This window comes from Homo sapiens, chromosome 1, assembly GCF_000001405.40.
Source record: "Homo sapiens chromosome 1, GRCh38.p14 Primary Assembly".
In the NCBI taxonomy this organism is placed as follows: Eukaryota; Metazoa; Chordata; class Mammalia; order Primates; family Hominidae; genus Homo; species Homo sapiens.
Window position 1 is genome coordinate 92,035,474 of NC_000001.11, and position 18,531 is coordinate 92,054,004.

Here is an 18,531-nt window from a genome sequence, read left to right on the forward strand (position 1 = left end):
ATATTCAGTAAATACTCATTTTCTTCCTTCATTCCCATTCATTCATTGTGGAGATCCATGTGTCAAATAATAATTTCCTAACTCTGGTGATGATAGTTAACATTTTCTAAGCATTTACTATGAGCCAGGCACTCTCTTTTTTATTTTTATTTTAAGTTCTGGAATACATGTGCAGGACATGCAGGTTTGTTACATGGTAAACGTGTGCCATGGTGGTTTTCTGCAACTATCAACCCGTCATGTAGGTATTAAGTCCAGCATTCATTAGCTATTTATCCTGATGCTCTCCCTCTCCCCACCCCCAACAGGCTCCAGTGTGTGTTGTTCCCCTCCCAAGCCAGGTACTTTTGTAAGTGACTTATATATACCATCTCATTTAAGCCCCATAGCTACCCTTCTGAAGTTGGCAGTGCCAGAAAGTCAGGTGTCCCTTGTTTTTGAAAGTCAGGGCTGACCTCTGCAGTTTGTTCTCATTCTATAGGAATTATAGTAATCTGATCCAATAACATGCATGGATTTTTACCTTTCAAATGTCACACCTTATACAAACATTCAAGAGGGTGTTAACAAATCAGCCAACAATATAAAAATACCTTAATTTAACATTTTAAATCATCATCCTAAATAAAATTCATGCATCGGAGAGATGATACTTAACTTTTTAGAAAGAAAACATTTGAAAGCTATTTTCTTTCTCTACCTCACACCAACCCCAGTACTTGGCCATCCTTATTCCCCTGGAATTTCACCTCTTTACGTGCAGAACAATATACACAAAGATAAAAATGAACCTACAACCACTTTCATACAGGGCAGTAGATGCTCTCTGTCGTATTCTAAGAGATTTTGTGCGTGTTTTTCACAGTCATGTCTCATTATTTACTCCTCATGAGAGCCCTTTTGCAAAATAGAAATGGCTGGTGATTCTTGTCCTAGAATCATCAGGGGATGAAACAGCCTAGGAGGGGGTCCAGCACTGGTCCCTGGATATCATTCCCATTTGCCCCCGCAAAGTCAAGTCTTGGATGTATCCAAAAGGGATTTGGTCATTGTGAGGAATAGTTTAGTTTTTGGGAAGCTCCTAGAAATATTTTCACTCTGAAAAGCCATAGATTAAGAAATATGTGAAGATCATAGACAGGCATGAGTCTCTTCTGTTCACTAAATCTGTCATTTGTTACTCCAGAAAGAACATTGGTAGAATTTAAAACAGCAACAACTACAAACGCAGATAGCTCAGCTACTCAGATAGATCATATTGAATTCATTGAACTTTGCTGATCATTAATCTGAAAGCTACCTGGTTGTTTAGGGAGCATCTGAAAATACTACATGGAGATTGTTGGTAATCAGATATCTCTGGAGTCATACTCTAAACCAAGACCCCTGTTGATGCTCACTCTGTCTTTCCTTTCAATCAATCAAATTGCCACTGTTACCCATTATGAGGTCTAGTCAATCTCATTGAGGTGCTAGTGGAAACAAACAACAGGAAAAAAAAAAGGTCTTAGAATTTAGGACAAAACTCTAGGGTTTAAGTTTTAAGACAAAACTCTTTTTTATTTTTTTCATTTTAAAGGCCAAAAAAACTTCATGCATGGCATTTCAAACCAATTTCAATTTACATTACAAATGTAAATGTTATTCCTCTAGCAATTAAGTTTTGCTTAAATACACATGAAAGTGTATGCTTGATTGTAGATTAAGTAGGTAACAAATATTTGATACAGTGAAAACAAAAAAAAATGAATTGATAATGTGTGTGAAAGTGCTTTGTAAACAGAAAAGCACCATGCAAATGTAACATATTATCGCATTTATCATCATTGCCTGAGAATAGCTGACGAGAAATGGTGATATTTCATGTATACAATTAGCTGTTACACAGCAACAATAAAATCCCGGGTCTTCTTAAAATCTAAAGGAAATATTAAACAAGATACACATCTACAGGACCTTTGACTAAATTAACCCCAAGTAAGGCTGTTTGTCAAAGGATGATCTTTCTCCCACTCTCTCTCTCCACTTCAATTTGCATCTCCTTTAAAAATATTTTGAGCTGAGGCAGGCAATTTCTTTGAGTCGTCTTCGTCTCCAGCTATATGGAATGCATGCGTCATCACTCAAGTGCTAAGGCGAGTGAGGGGCCTTCATCATACAGCTGAGCACAGAAGCTGACAACTGTGGCATTTCTCTGTGGTAAAGAGGAGGAGGATAGTCTACATCTGAAAGTGTAACCTGGTAAAACCAGGAGCCCTCCTAGGTGAAGAGCAATCACGGCGAAAGAGATTGGTTATTTTTCCTGAGTGTCCTCTGCTATTACCTAAAGCTACCAGAAAAAAGGCAATGTGGATGAAAATAGTTTTGCTTATTTATAATCTTTTTAGGGTTACTGCTTTTGTAATGTGTTTCATTCCTGTATCAAGGAGATTGTTTTCGCTTTATTCATGTAAATGATATGTCCATCAGTCTAATACTGGGGTGACTTCTTTTTCAGTTTAGGGCTAATGTGTACATCAAATGTGTTTTATTTATGAACTTCAGGAAGATGACAGTTAAAAATTATTCCTTAGTAATTTATTAAAAATATGCAGTTGCCCTATTTCTTAGAATTGTTTAGGATATTGTTTGGCTTCACTCATTGTTAAAAGCAGTAGCTGGATTTATTTTTAAGGCAATTTAAATTATTTCTAATATGACATGGAAGCATCATGTTTGCATAATCTCTAATCCAATTCTAAATGTAAAATGTTGCAGGATTATATAAAGTCAAATTTCTACCTTGAAATCTCTAATTAAATCCTAAATGAAGACACGGACCCTTAAGGTATTGAAACAACGTGCAGTTCAACAGAAATTGAATACAAATTCCCCAATAGGAATTTGGGACCGTTAGCTGTCATTGTCTCAAGGTTTGAACTGGGACAAAAGTCCTACTGCACAACTGGTACTTCTAGCACTATCATTATTCAGTGTTTTTATTCATTTGTTGTTTCATTTATTTGACAAATCTTTATTAAGCACCTACAGGGGCTAGATATTCTCATAGACGACCCAGGAAACGATCTCGTGGAAGAGCCAGGTATCAAAAGTGAGGTGTGCCCCAGCCCTGAAGAGTGCACATACAAGTGCAAAAGCGTGGAAGGGGCCCACGCACCCCAGCTGTAATGGAGAGAGCTGGGAAGTCTCCTAGAAAAGGAGACGCCTAATGTGATAATGAGTTAATTGAGGGGTGAGAGTCAGGGATTATGGGGTAATAGGGGAATGGTGGGGAGTGATGGTATTTCAGACAAAGGAAACCATATGAAGAAAGTCATAAAAGCAAAAACCAATATCTCTATTTGTTCACCTATTTCAACCTAGTGCTGCAGAGGCAGTATAACATGGACTCTGGGGCCAGACTCCCTGGGCTGGAATCCTGGCTCTGCTGTTTGCTGACTCTGTGACCTTTGGTACTTCAATTAACCTTGCTTTCCCTCCATTTCTTCATCTGTTAAGTGAAGATAATAATAATATCTACTTCATAGTACTGTTTTGAAGATCAATATTACCATACAAGAAGCACTTAGAATTGGGCCTGGTATGTAGTAAGAATGGTATAGATGTTAGTTCTTTTTGTTATAAAGCAAATGACAGAGTGCAAAGTAATCTGGCTGGAAGATTGGGCAATAGTCAAATCTTTCAGATTTTTTTCTGCTAGAATAATAAGCTAGAACTTCATGTTATGGGTAATAGGGAGTCAAGAAAGGATTTTCAGCAACGAAATGACATGAGTTTGTGTCTTTGCTACATCACTGGTTTTGTAGAAGATAGAGCAGAGGGGAATGAAAGCGACACACTTAGACCAAGCAATAGGCTGCTGCCTAAATGGAGGCCTGAATTAAGGTAATGATAGAATGGTAGACAAGAGTGTTTAAATAAATATTTAAGAGGTTAAATGAACAGAACTTTATTGATTGGGTAGGATGGATTATAAAGAGGGAAGAATTAGGCTTCAGTTATGAAGACATAAAAAATCAATTCAAAATTTTAAGTAAGGCAAATCAGAAAAAATACAATCACATGTGTTGACAGATGAGTATCTTTAAGGAAACAAGCTACTTTATTTGTTACAATCCACAGACAAGATTAACAACATTACTACAGTCTAGCCAAAAAAGACACGTTTATTTAATTAATTTATTTATTTATTTATTTGAGACAGAGTTTCCCTCTTGCTGCCCAGGCTGGAGTGCGGTGACTCGATCTCGGCTCACTGCAACCTCCATCTCCCGGGTTCAAGCGATTCTCCTGCCTCAGCCTCCCTAGAAGCTGGGATTACAGGTGTCCGCCACCACGCCTGGCTAATTTTTGTATTTTTAGTAGAGACGTGGTTTCACCATGTTGGCCAGGCTGGTCTCAAATTCCTAACCTCAAGCCATCCGCCCACTTTGGCCTTCCAAAGTGCTAGGATTACAGGCGTGAGCCACTGCGCCCAGCCAGAAGACATGTTTATTAGCATTTTCTTTTTTGTTGTTATTCTTTTATTGTTTTTGTTGTTTATTAACATTTTCAAATCCATCTTAGTTGGCAATGCTTTGGCAGATTTTCATAAATCATAAATATCCTAGTGATAGATCAAAAAATTCTATATTCATTCATAATTCCAAATATGTGTCTGACACTCTTCCTGATGATATAAGGTGGTTGATTTGTTACAATGATTTTTTTTTTTTTTTTTTTGGCAGGTTCTGGCTCTGTCACTCAGGCTGGAGTGCAGTGGCGCGATCACAGCTCACTGTAAACTCTGCCGCCTGGGCTTAAGCCATCGTCCCACCTCAGGCTCCTGAGTATATGGGACCACAGGCACACGACACCATACTTAGCAAATTTTTTTTTTTTTTTTTTTGAGATGGAGTTTTGCTCTTGTTGCCCAGACTGGAGTGCAGTGGGACGATCTCAGCTCACCTCAACCTCCGCCGCTTGCCTCAGCCTCCCAAGTAGCTGGGATTACAGGCATGCACTGCCATGCCTGGCTAATTTTGTATTTTTAGTAGAAACGGGGTTTCTCCATATTGGTCAGGCTGGTCTTGAACTCATGACCTCAGGTGATCCACCTGCCTCGGCCTCCCAAAGTGCTGGCATTACAGGCGTGAGCCACCGCACCCGGCCTAATTTTTTAATTTTTTGTAGAGACAGGGTTTCACCATGTTGCCTAGGCTGGTCTCAGACTCCTGAGCTTAAGTGATCTGCCCACCTTGGCCTCCCAAAGTGCTGAGATTACTGATGTGAGCCACCGCACCTGGCCTGTTTGTTACATTGATCTTACTGTTGTGTGTCACTTCACATCGCAGCCCCCCTCTCAGGCTTATAATCTTATATTACAATCTTTACACTGGTTTATAATCTTAACATTCAGTTGCGTTAGCTTGCCTACTGCACTCCAAAAGTATTTTCAGACAATGATCTCCCACTTGGCTTGTGTCAGATAATTTTACACTGTATTTCCATGAACAAATGTGCATGCAGATGCTTTTTTTTAATGCATATTTTGAGTCCCATAACATAGTGAGTCACTTTTAAAAATCCATGTCTTTTTTTTCTGTTGGTTATCTAAAATGGTTTTGCTTATTTGAAGAAGAAAATCTTATGGATCTCTCTATTTCGATTAATTCTGCAGTTCCATGATCAAGCAGAGGGGGAATGCCTGGCTCAGCAGTGGCCTCCAGAACTTGGCTGCAGCACTGTGGCCCTTCTAATTGGTCAGTGCTGGTGCCATTTTGGTTGTTAAATGTTTTTAGTATCACTCTTGCTTATTCTCATGGTTCAGGATCTTCTCCACAGAATTTTGCTTTAGCAAGCAGAGGTTTATCTTAAATGGTTGTTTTATTATTAGATTATTTCAGTGATAATCTTTTTTAAAAAACCTTCAGACTTTTTCACCCATAAATAAGCTGTGGTTATTACTAAAACTTTGACCCTATTTGACAGTGGAGTAAGGTGAGTAACATCTACTTGTGAGAGAAATATAAAATTTCATCTAGTAAATTTTTTCAATCAGAGAATCAAATGGTTCTGCAATACAGAAGCATTTTACTTATGTTACTCCACTGAAATTCCTGGGCCAGATAAGCATTCAGATGTTTTGGTAAAACTGTCAAACTCATCTTCCCACTCACTTTTTTATACTTGATAATCCATTTATTATCTAGAAATTCGGGCTGTAAAATAACTAACTGTTCATAGTACAGATTCCCTGGTGGCTATACACACCATTTAAGAAAAGCTTTAAAAATTGACTTATTTGGCCAGGTGCAGTGGCTTACACCTGTAATCCCAGCACTTTGGGAGGCTGAAGTGGGCCAATCACCTGAGGTCAGGAATTCAAGACCAGCCTGACCAACATGGAGAAACCCTGTCTCTACTAAAAAGAAAAAAATACAAAAATTAGCCAGGTGTGGTGGCACATGCCTGTAATCCTAGCTACTTGGGAGGCTGAAGCAGGAGAATTGCTTGAACCCGGGAGGCAGAGGTTGCAGTGAGCCAAGATCATGCCATTGCACTCCAGCCTGGGCAATAAGAGCGAAACTCTGTCTCAAAACAAACAAACAAAAAATTGACTTATTGGCCAGACATGTTAGCTCACACCTGTAATCCTAGCACTTTGGGAGGCTGAAGCAGGAGGATCACTTGAGCCAGGAGTTCGAGACCAGCCTGGGCAACATAGTGAGACCCTGTTTCAATTTTTTAAAAATGGACTTATTAAGACATATATAAGTACAATGATTTTAGTATCTGATACTATGTAGTTTCTGTAAATAGTGGCACTTTGTTACCCTCCAGTGGAACTGGTAAAAAGACAAAATAATTCTCATAGAATGTCAGTGTTTCCTTCTCAAGTAGGTCTCTTTCCTGCTTACTTGCAGCTATATATCTGTTCTAAAAATAAGGAATTTCTTACAGTTTTCCACTGAGAAAATCTGAAATGTGGCCAGGTGCAGTGGCTCACACCTGTAATCTCAGCACTTTGGGAGGCTAAGGCATGAGGATCACTTGAGCCCAGAAGTTTGAGACCAGCCCTGGCAACATAGGGAGACCCCGTGTCTACAAAAAATTTTTTTAATTAGCTGGGTGTGATGGTGTGCACCTGTAGTCTCGGCTTTTTAGGAAACTGAGGCAGGAGGATCACTTGAGCCAGGGAGGTTGAGGCTGCAGTGAGCTGTGATTGCACCACTGCACTCCAGCCTGGGTGACAGAGCAAAACTCTGTCTCAAAAAAAAAAAAAAAAAAAGAAAGGAAAAAGAAAATCTGTAATGTTACTGTTTGTACTAGCTAATATGATATTTTAAATGCTTCCTTTTTTCCTGCAGGTATTCTTGGCGTTACCAACTGAGAGAATTTAAAAGTGAATATCGAGTTGTAGCACTGGATTTGAGAGGTTATGGAGAAACAGATGCTCCCATTCATCGACAGAATTATAAATTGGATTGTCTAATTACAGATATAAAGGATATTTTAGATTCTTTAGGTAGGTTAGTTTGAAACAAAACAACTCTTTTTAAGGGACAAACATTCAACAAATTGTGAATCAATGACTTCTTTTCTTGGGAGGATGCATATTCCATCTACCCAAATTATCTGGATCCTGTCACTATGGTTTCAGTTAGTCAGCCCAAAATATCTGTACAGGAAATTTAAAATGATGCATCTAGAGCAACTATTCTGTCTACCAGCCAAGAATGACTTTTCAGATTTGTTTTTAAACATAGACCTAATGGCCCGGGTGCTGTGGCTTGCGCCTATAATCCCAGCACTTTGAGAGGCTGAGGCGGGCAGATCACCTGAGGTCAGAGTTTAAGACCAGCCTGACCAACATGTTGAAACCCTGTCTCTACTAAAAATACAAAAATTAGCCAGGCGTGAACCCAGGAGATGGAGGTTGCAGTGAGCTAAGATCGTGCCGTTGCACTCCAACCTGGGCAACAAGAATGAGACTCTGTTTAAAAAAAAAAAAAAAAAAAATAGACCTAATGTATGCTGTTTATTATTTTGAGAAATAATTATTGAAAAGTTTATACTTAGAAAGTTTATTTCTTTAGAACACACACCTAAATATTCATTTTAAAATGTTATACAGATGCACTTGCATTATTTCTGTTGTATCAATCAGTTAGAACCACATAATATTGTGGAACAAACCACCCCAGATTCGGTGGCATAGGGTCATAACCATTTTTTCCTGTGCTCATGGATCTGCAGGTTAACCGTAGGCTGGACTCCTCTGGTCTTTGCCTCAGGCTGCAGGTCCAGCTGGGACTGGCTTCTCTCTGTGAGTTGGGCTGGAGCCCAAGCTAAAAGGGAGTGGCTGCCTGAGGGAAGCTTTTTTCCTGGCGATGGTAGAGGGTGAGCCCAGGTGCACAAGCTTAAGTTTCTACCGGCAGCCCATTAGTCAAAGCAAGTCATATGGTGGAGCCCAAAGTCAAGCTACATAGCCACCACGAGACCAAAGCAAATCACATGGCCAAGTCTAAAATCAAAGGGGCAGCAAGTAGACTACTGTGACAGCAGGGAGAAGGGGAAAGTAAATATTTTTTAACAATAATCCAATCTATTAATACTATATCCCTTTTGACTGAAACCAAGCTGCTACCATCAGTATGTTAATGGAAGCAATATAGTGAGAAATACCATGAAATCAAAGGCACTTTCTACAGTAATCTAATGAGAGCATGGATCAGGCCAATATTTTTAGGGGAAAAAAAATGAATGGGGTCTGGGGGTGTCACATACAATATTGTCATTTAGTCTGATTACAGTAAAAGAGACTCAGACACTGATTTTGAACAATTATATTTCAAATTTTGTGATAATTCAGTCAGACCTGGCCTAAATTTGTCATCATGAAATTTTTAGGCAAATAATTAATATAAACAAGATTTATGCATGTGTGTTTATGTCTACGTGTGTGTATTAGTATAGTAGTGAGGAGTGATGGTGAGAATTACTTCCTTGAAAGAATTAAGCAATTTTAAGTACTCCAGGAATAAATTACAAATGAATTTTATGCATCCATACAATGGAAATCCTGTAGGAATCTCTATTAATCAACATTTTAACGTACTTTAAATTAACCGAGTGATTACATGAAATGAAACTGGTGCAAAATTGGTGCTATAATTAAGACTTTCCATTACTTCAGTTTGACTTCACAGTTCCAAATTAGTGACAGATTTTCTGTGTTGAATTGTACATAGGATTTGTGAAGTTAGGGAAGAGATAGATGCTTCCTGGAAATAAAGATTTATGAGGTTGGACATAGATGAGACATTTATAATTTTACTATAACTAGAAATTTCTGAGCATTCAAAAAAAAACCAAATAATCTTACTTTTGACTTCATTATGTGCAGTCTTTACCATGGTTTCCAAACTCAGGTCCATGGGACCAGAGCTGAGCAACATAAGCTATTTCAGATGTTTCTTTTGTTTCTTTTGTACCCCCCCACACTTTTTTTCTTTTTTAGAAACAGAGTCTCGGTCTCGCTCTGTCACCCAGGCTGGAATGCAGTGGCATGATCATGGCTCACTGCAGCCTTGAAGTCCTGGGCTCAAGGGATCCTCCCACTCCAGGCTCTACAGTTGCTTGTACTACAGGTGGACACCACCACACCTGGATAATTTCTTTATTTTTTTGTAGAGACGGCTGGGTGTGTGTGTTGGGGGGAGGTCTTGCTATGTTGCCCAGGCTGGTCTCGAACTCCTGGCCTCAAGCAATCCTCCTGCTTTGGCCTCACAAGTGTTGAGATTATAGGTGTGAGTCACCACACCGGCCTATTTCAGATTTTTTTTTTTTTAATATGGATTCCTGGGAGAGATTCTCAATCTATAGGTTTAGAGTGGAGCTATATAGGTGATGTACAGACAAGTTTTGGAACCACTGAATTCAATATCTGCACAAAGTGCATAATTAGGATAAGATAATGAAAAGAGGTACTTCAGAAGTATAACTATTTTATGTGAGGTAACAGTGCACCCACCTGTTTCTTTTTAATGATGTCAACATTTATTTCTTGTTTACAGGGTATAGCAAATGTGTTCTTATTGGCCATGACTGGGGGGGCATGATTGCTTGGCTAATTGCCATCTGTTATCCTGAAATGGTGATGAAGCTTATTGTTATTAACTTCCCTCATCCAAATGTATTTACAGGTGAGTTCAAGTTTTTATCAAAACAGTTCTGCTAATGTGACAATTCACTCTTGCCACTGACCTTTTGGATTAGAAACAGCAAAATTTGGTTACTATCATATTTTAAAATTAAATGACTAAACCATGATAGCACATGACAGTGTCAGATACCTTGGTTTTCAATCTTCCTGGGGAATCTAAGAAAATTTAGCTTTATACTTGCTTACATAATTTTATTCCTTCAAAAAAAGATTTTACTGTTAACTTGGGGAGGGATAAAGGGAAACATACAATGACATTGCTTTGACAGTAATGAATCCTGACAGCCTAGAAATAAATTCTCCTTTTGCTTGACTGCTTTGGCTGTCAGGAATAGCAGTATTCTTTAAAGCAGTTCTCACATTTTTTGGTCTTGGGCTTCTATATGCTCTTAAAATTATTAAAGACCCCATTGAGCTTTTACTTATATGGTTTATAAATATTCACTGTATTGGAAATTAAAATAGAAATTTAAAAATATTTATATGTTAATTCATCAAAAGAAATAAACCATTACATGTTAACATAAATAACATATTTTAAATGAAAGCTAACTACATCTTCCAAAACAAAATTTTAGTGAAAAGAGTGTCATCGTTTTACATTTTTGCAAATCTCTTCAATCTGTTGCAATATGTTGTTTGCATTGAAGTATGTGAGGAAATTTGGCCTCACACAGATCTGTAATTGGAAAAGGGAGGAGTATTTTAATAGCCTTTTCAGATAACTGTGGATTTTCTTTCTTAATACTATACCAAACTTAAAAATTAATGGTTTTGTTTTGTTTCTGTTTTTGTTTTTTTGAGATGGAGTCTCGCTCTGTCGCCCAGGCTGGAGTGCAGTGGCGCCATCTCGGCTCACTGCAACCTCCACCTCCTGGGTTCAAGCGATTCTCCTGCCTCAGCCTCCCGAGTAGCTGGGACTACAGACACCCGCCACCATGCTTGGCTAATTTTTGTATTTTTAGTAGAGACAGGGTTTCGCCGTGCTGGTCAGGCTGGTCTCAAATGCCTGACCTTGTGATCCGCCCGCCTCAGCCTCCTAAAGTGCTGGGATTACAGGCGTGAGCCACCGCGCCCTGCCAATGGTTTCTTAAAGGTAACAATGTGGAATGTGATGGCAAATAAATGATTTTTTAATACTATACTCTATTAAAACCCACAGGTCTCCCTAGCACTTTTATTGTATCTTTTATCCATGCCTGGTTTTGTATCATCATGCATTGTAAGATGTTTGTTCACTGATTTATGCAGATCTTCCATAAGTTGACACATTTCATCATACAGGATCAAAAAATCACATTCTTTGACATCACCCTAATCTCATCAGAAAAGCCTTTAAAGTATTGCAAAGCTGTGAAGCTCACAGTAGCAGATATAAGTTTTCCAAAGTTCTAAGGTTCATTTGAAAGTCTGATTTTTATCAATGGCACAACTACTGATGATTGTTTTCCTTGACATGATAGGCTCACTTTGTTAACTTTCAAGAGATTATCCGACAAATACCCATGTCTGACTGATGATTGGTTGTTAGTCATTCTTTCAAGTAAAATAATGTTACATTTAAAAATGCAGCAAAAAATTAGCTGGGTGTGGTGGTGTGCACCTGTAGTCCCAGCTACCTGGGGGGCTGAAGCAGGAAGATCACTTAAGCTCAGGAGGTTGAGGCTGCAGTGAGCTGAGATTGTGCCAGCTGAGGGTGGCAAAGTGAGACCCTGTCTCAAAAAAAAAAAAAAGCAGCTAATTCAACCCATCAACTCAAAAAAATTGTAGAAGTGCTTTTCCTTGGGACAATCATTGTATTTGTGTTGTCTTGAGACAGCAGAACTGCTTTATGTGTACTTTCTATTTAATTACATAGAATATTAAAAAGATGTACTCAAAGGTCAAGTTTAATTAATGTTTTTTGCTGTTTCATCAAGGACACTGTTAAGTGAATCCAGCACTTAATTAAATGTAATTAATTAGTTAGTTTGCCACCAGTGTGTGGTGGTGAAGAATAGGATGACTACTAGTATTGTTCAGTGCCACTGCCTTGATTTGTGCTAAATCAGCAGTGGCTTTAACCATCATTGCTTTTGTAGTACTTGTGCAAATATCAATATGGTGAGAAAAAAGCAAATAAATATCTTAATATTGCTATGAAATAGTTTTGACCACCTGGATACCTTAAAAAGTCTTGGGAATCCCCAGGGATTCACATGGACGATACTTTGAGAACCTCCACTTTAAAGGCAACTCTTAAAAACTTAATAGTGATTAAAGACCTGTGAACCATGGCCGGGCACATTTTTATTTGGTTTTGGCAAAAATTAATAATTTTGTATTCTTTACTCTTGTTAAGTTTTCTGAGGTTCAAGTACTACTACTACCCACAGCAGGACTCTAGGAAATAAAAAATTCAGAACCACATATTTCTATTTCTTCCTAAAAATTAAACAGGTAAGGAAGAAAGGGACCATGACTATGTAAATATATAAGTCAATGTAAGTGTTGAGTTGAATTTTAGATACATATCCAACTGACCTATCACTTGGTATAGTGAGGTATAGTGGGATGGATGCTTAGGATTCAAATGTCCTGAGAGTCACTGTATTTTTCTAGTTTGAATTCAACAGCAGAAGTCATGCTACATGCTCGTTCAATTGATCAGGACCCAAGAGTAAATCTTATTTTGGTGGTGGTGCTATATGGACAAACTGTAGCTGGTGATTTCAGCAAGAAAATACTTGGAATATTTCTGGAATTATTTTATCAATAATTGTTTCTGCCCTGTCAGGTCAATATGAGGCTTTCAAATAACTTGCCTATATTTTTCCCCTAATTGTATTGTTATCTCTTAATGCAGGGGTGAATAAATCTTGTTAAATTATGACTTTGCAAAAACTATAGTATAACAATGGTATACTTATCTGAAAATTATACTTCTAAAAACTCCATGTTGAATATAGTTATGAAATGGGAAATAAGAAAAAATGACTTTTAGAGTAAGGAAAATAAGATTGCATAGTACTCAAGCATAGACTTTTTTTCCCATTTTTTTAGAGACAGGATCTCATTTAGGATCTCATTTTGTCCCCCATACTGGAGTGCAGTGGCATAATCATAGTGCACTGAAGCCTTGACCTCAAGGCTGGGCTCAAGTGATCCTCCCACCTCAGCCTCCCAAGTAGCTGGGACTACAGGCTTACACCACTGTTTTTTTTGTAGAGACAGTATCTTGCTATGTTGCCCAGGCTGGTCTCAAACCCTTGGCTTCAAGCAGTTTTCCTCCCTCAGCCTCTCACAGCACTGGGATTACAGGCATGAGCCACCATGCCTGGCTTTACACACTTTTTTATTATATATGAATATATATGTATATATATTTATATATAAACTCACCAGTTTAAAACTTTAGTGTCTTCCCAAAGCACTTAAAATAAAATCTTATTATTCTGGTCCTACATGATCAGGCTTCTGCTTTTCTTTCTGACTCATCATATACCATCTTCCTCTCATTCATTATACACCAGCAACAAAGGCCTTTCTGCATCTGGAATGTACCAAGCCCAGGATCTACTTGCTGTTCCTGGATGTTCTCCGTAGATCTTTGCACAGCTGACTCCCTGTAACCATTCAGGATTCAGCAAACATCACATCCCAGAGAGGCCTTCTTGACTACTTCTACTATGTAGCAGTCCCTCCACTCCACCCTACCATCACTGTCAATCAGATTGCCTTCTTTTATTTTCTTTATGGTATTATTGCTCTCTAAAGTGATCTTGTAAGCATTTGGACTTATTTATTGTGTAAGTTCATTGTTTGTGGGAACCTTTTCTGTCTTGTTCACTGCTAAATCCCTTGGCACACAGTAGATAGTCAAATATTCATTGAATGAATGAGTTTTCTAGATACATCAATGAATTTATAGGAAAAACTTCAGTTCCTTTTGAGGCCAGATGAACAAGGCATTCAATTTGAATCAACTTGTAAGGAAAATCTTTTAAACAACCGAAAATTACATCACCATGTATTCCTAGGAAAAGTGGTAGGTCACTGATAATGACCTTGGAGGAAAAGCAGCGTTGTTTGGGCTTCCTGTTCCCTTTTGAGTCAAGATTTCATAAAGTGAAACCTTTTTATTTAAAGTGGTATAAGACCAGGCGTGGTGGCTCATGCCTGTAATCCCAGCACTTTGGGAGGCCGAGGTGGGCAGATCACCTGAGTCAGGAGTTCGAAACCAGCCTGGCCAACATGGCGAAACTCTGCCTCTACTAAAAATACAAAAAATTAGCCGGGCTCGGTGGTGGGCACCTGTAATCCTAGCTACTCAGGAAGCTGAGGCAGGAGAATCGCTTGAACCCAGGAGGCAGAGGTTATAGTGAGCTGAGATCGCGCCATTGCACTCCAGCCTGGGCAACAGAGCAAGACTCTGTCTCAAAAAAATAAAAAATAAAAAAAATAATAAAGTGGTATAAATTTTGGAAATACCGGAATTACTCAAGATATAAGAGCATAGAAATTGTTCCAAAGAAGCCTTACTTATGGATTCTTTTATGGGATCATCTTAAAGTAAAATTGTCCTAAAAAGAAGTTCTTCTAACAGTAAGTAATTTATACCCCTTGGATAAGGTCTAACATGGCATTTTAATTTCAGAATATATTTTACGACACCCTGCTCAGCTGTTGAAATCCAGTTATTATTACTTCTTCCAAATACCATGGTTCCCAGAATTTATGTTCTCAATAAATGATTTCAAGGTAAGCCAAACAAATCAAACAAATAATGTATTATTATTATTATTAATGAAAAATATTTTAAAGTCCACGTTTAAGAAGAATAATGAAAAATGAAAGGAAATTATTATAACTTAAATGGTTTTAAGAACTTAACTATAGTCTTGCTTATTTTCATAGTCTCTGTTTATGTATTTAAATACCTGGCTGTTCTTCAAATTTTTGTAAGACTGTGCCCCTATGGGCATACCCCTTCTTAGAGAACGTCTCATAGGGAGATGAGGGAATACAAATATCAGGTTTAATAGCAGCAGAAGTAGAAGACTTCGGGGTTAAAAAAAAAAAGCCCTAAACAAAGTAAACATTCAGATATTAGTGTCACACATACACTGACACCAGTAGTCATATGCAAGTATCTTGGAAATTTATTAAATTCTTCTTTTTATTTTTTTGTTTTGCTTTGTTTTTGAGACAGGAATTTGCTTTGTCACCCAGGCTGGAGTGCAGCTCACTGCAGCCTCAACCTCCCAGGCTCAAGCAATCCTCTCACCTCAGCCTCCCAAGTAGCTGGGACTACAGGCATGTGCCACCATGCCCCGCTAGTTTTTGTATTTTTTGTAGAGACTGGGTTTTACCATGTTGCCCAGGCTGGTCTGAAACTCCTGGCCTCAAGCAATCCTCCCACCTCGGCTTCCCAAAGTGCTGGGATTACAGGCATAAGCCACCACTCCCGACATAAATGCTTCTTACATGTCCATCATGGTGTTAGATATTGGTGAGGATTTTTAAAAGGTATAATATAATTTTACCTGTAAATAATTATGTGTATAACTGTGATGGGATAAGAACTTAAAAAAAAAAAAACCCAATGCCACTATCAAACCTAACAGAATAAATGACAACTCCTTAATATCATTTAATACCCATTCAAATTTCATTAACTGTCATAACTGTCTTGATATACTTCATTTGTTTGAATCAGGAACCAAAGTCTATACCTTGTATTTAGTTGTTATGGCTTTTAAAATGTATACTAGTGCCTTCTTTCTTTTTTTTCTAATTTTTTTTTAATATCACTTATTTATTGAAGAAATTTGCCCTGAGGAAAGATCCATATTTTGGATTTGGCTGATTGCTTCATCATGGTGGTATTTAACTTGTTCCTCTAACCCTTGTTTTTCCTACTTCATAGGTATTGGTGATCTAGAGGCTTGATTAAATTTTAATTTGAAAAGGATACTTAATAGGTGGTGCTGTGTATTTCCTAACGCATCCCATCAGGGAAATGCATGATACCTACTTGGTCCAGTTTTACTAATGCTAACAGTGATCAGTGGGCTCATGAGTTGTCAGCCTATCCAAAATTTCCTAACATCCTTCCACCAAATTAATTTTAGTATACATTAGTGATCATAGCCTAGGCCCATTATTTCATTAGGGTATGAAAAATGGTTATTTTCTAATTTTATAATTCTTTCTGCTTTTAATTGAAATTCTGCTGTAAAGAATTTTTCCACATCTACTATTTATTCTGAAATATAGTTCACACAAGAATGGCAGGATATATGCTCATTCTTTTTCTTTTTACAAACAACTTTTAGAGTAATGAATATATATTTGATATATATCAGTCAGTTAGAGACATTATTCTTTTGGATGCCCAAATTATCCCACAATAGGCATCAAATGAGGCATCCTTTCAGGTTGGCTTTTGTGGCTTTTTGACATAATCCCTTTAGTCAGTGATAGCTTGCCTCCTCAATGCCCTGGGCTTATCTTTTATTTCCTGCCCAGAAGGGGAATTAGTCATTTATCCAAGGAACTCTTGAGCTGGGCCTTGTAGAATATGAATAGGCACCAAGAAGACAGGATGCTTTTTATAAAAATGCAGTGTGCAGGGGGGATTAGAAGGGAAGAATATAGAAAAAATAAAGCCAGGAAAGCAGAAATGCATAGAATATATATGTATAAACAATGAGATCTCAAACTTGGCTAGAGCAGAAATTAGGAGTTGTCACCACACAATGACCACCATCCCCTTTCCAAAGCCAAAGACTTAGCTTATTATTAGATAACAAAAAAGTTTTAATTATTGTTTTCTCACTTAAATTAGGTTTTGAAACATCTGTTTACCAGTCACAGCACTGGCATTGGAAGAAAAGGATGCCAATTAACAACAGAGGATCTTGAAGCTTATATTTATGTCTTTTCTCAGCCTGGAGCATTAAGTGGCCCAATTAACCATTACCGAAATATCTTCAGGTAAGTATAATTTCTTTTTAGTTAAATAAAAATATTTCAGTCTGATCCTACAGGGACAATATTTTATTTTTAAGGTTAAGTTCACCACTTATCCAAAGACTCAAATAAGGTATTTTAATTTTTTTAGTAAGTTGCATAATCTTTTTATGGACAATTTCAAACATATGGAAAAGTAGACAGAGTAATATAACAAATCCTTCATGTAGCTGTCACTTGTTTTATCCATAACTCTATCAACTTATTCTCTCCTTTTAGATTATTTGGAATAGATGTATATTTTTAGTTCTTTTTAAATGATGATTTATTTATTCAAGAAATATTTATTAACCACTATGTTCTGGGCTGTGTTAGTTACTCAGAACATAGTAATAAGCAAAACTAGATAAGGTCTCTGATCTCACAAAACTTGTAGCCTAATAGGGAAAACAGACATTAAGCAAATAACCACAGTAATGAGTGAATAGTTATAAACTAACAGAAAGGCTTTGAAAGAAAGAGATGAGAACTGAGGAAATAATGTTAGACCAAAGAAGTGAAGGATGAGTTAGGTATTGACTAAACAAGATTGGGGACAGGGGGACAGGCATTCCAGAAAAAGGAAACAGCAGGTACCAAAGCCCTGTGGGAAGATGGAGGAGGGTTGTAGCTTCAAGCAACAGAATTAGGGCTTCTTGGCTGGAGCACAGAAAGTAAGGGTAAGAAGAGCATTATGAGGCTGGGTCCAAGAGGTGGGTAAGTAGACCATATGAAGGATGTAAAAGCCATGAATGCGAAGCCAGTGAATGAGAATCTCAAGCAGAAAAGAAAAACAACCTACATGTGTATTTGAATAAGTTCAGTGTGGTCATAGTGCAGAGAATGTATTAGAGAATTTTCAGAGTAAATGTGGGAAAACTGCAGCAGTCCAGGCTAGAGATGATGGTAACTTTAACAACTAGTCTGAAAACAGTGGAGATGGAGAGAGTGGGCAGATTTCAGAGACACTTAAGAGGTAAAATTGACAGGGGTTGGCAATGGGTTGGAGGGGGAATGAGAAGAGAGATATCAAATATGGCTCCTGGATTTCTGGCATGTGCAGCAGTATGGATAAGCATGCCATTTACTGAGAGAGGAAACGCTAGAACAGGGCTAGTTTTTATGGGAAAGTCATGAATTTTATTGATCTTAGGCTAGTTGACTTTTGGGTGATACCTTAGATATTCAAATACACCGTTGGGTAGTAGGGTCTGGAACTCAGAGGAGAGAATCTGGGATGAAGATATATAAGATCTGGGAGTCACTGACGTAGAGACAAGCTTTGGTTTTAGAACATATTGTCTGGGGAGAAAGTATAGAGTGAAAGATAA

General features: G+C 37.9%; 1 protein-coding gene across 1 annotated transcript in view; it reads left to right on the forward strand.

The window, feature by feature from the left end:
- EPHX4 (epoxide hydrolase 4) overlaps window positions 1–18,531 on the forward strand; it is a 33,554-nt gene that overhangs the window by 5,489 nt on the left and 9,534 nt on the right. The window contains exons 3-6 of the mRNA NM_173567.5: window positions 7,350–7,507; window positions 10,059–10,187; window positions 14,844–14,947; window positions 17,037–17,185. Of these exons, the coding sequence (NP_775838.3) occupies window positions 7,350–7,507; window positions 10,059–10,187; window positions 14,844–14,947; window positions 17,037–17,185 (540 nt within the window). The remainder of the gene's footprint in view (window positions 1–7,349; window positions 7,508–10,058; window positions 10,188–14,843; window positions 14,948–17,036; window positions 17,186–18,531) is intronic.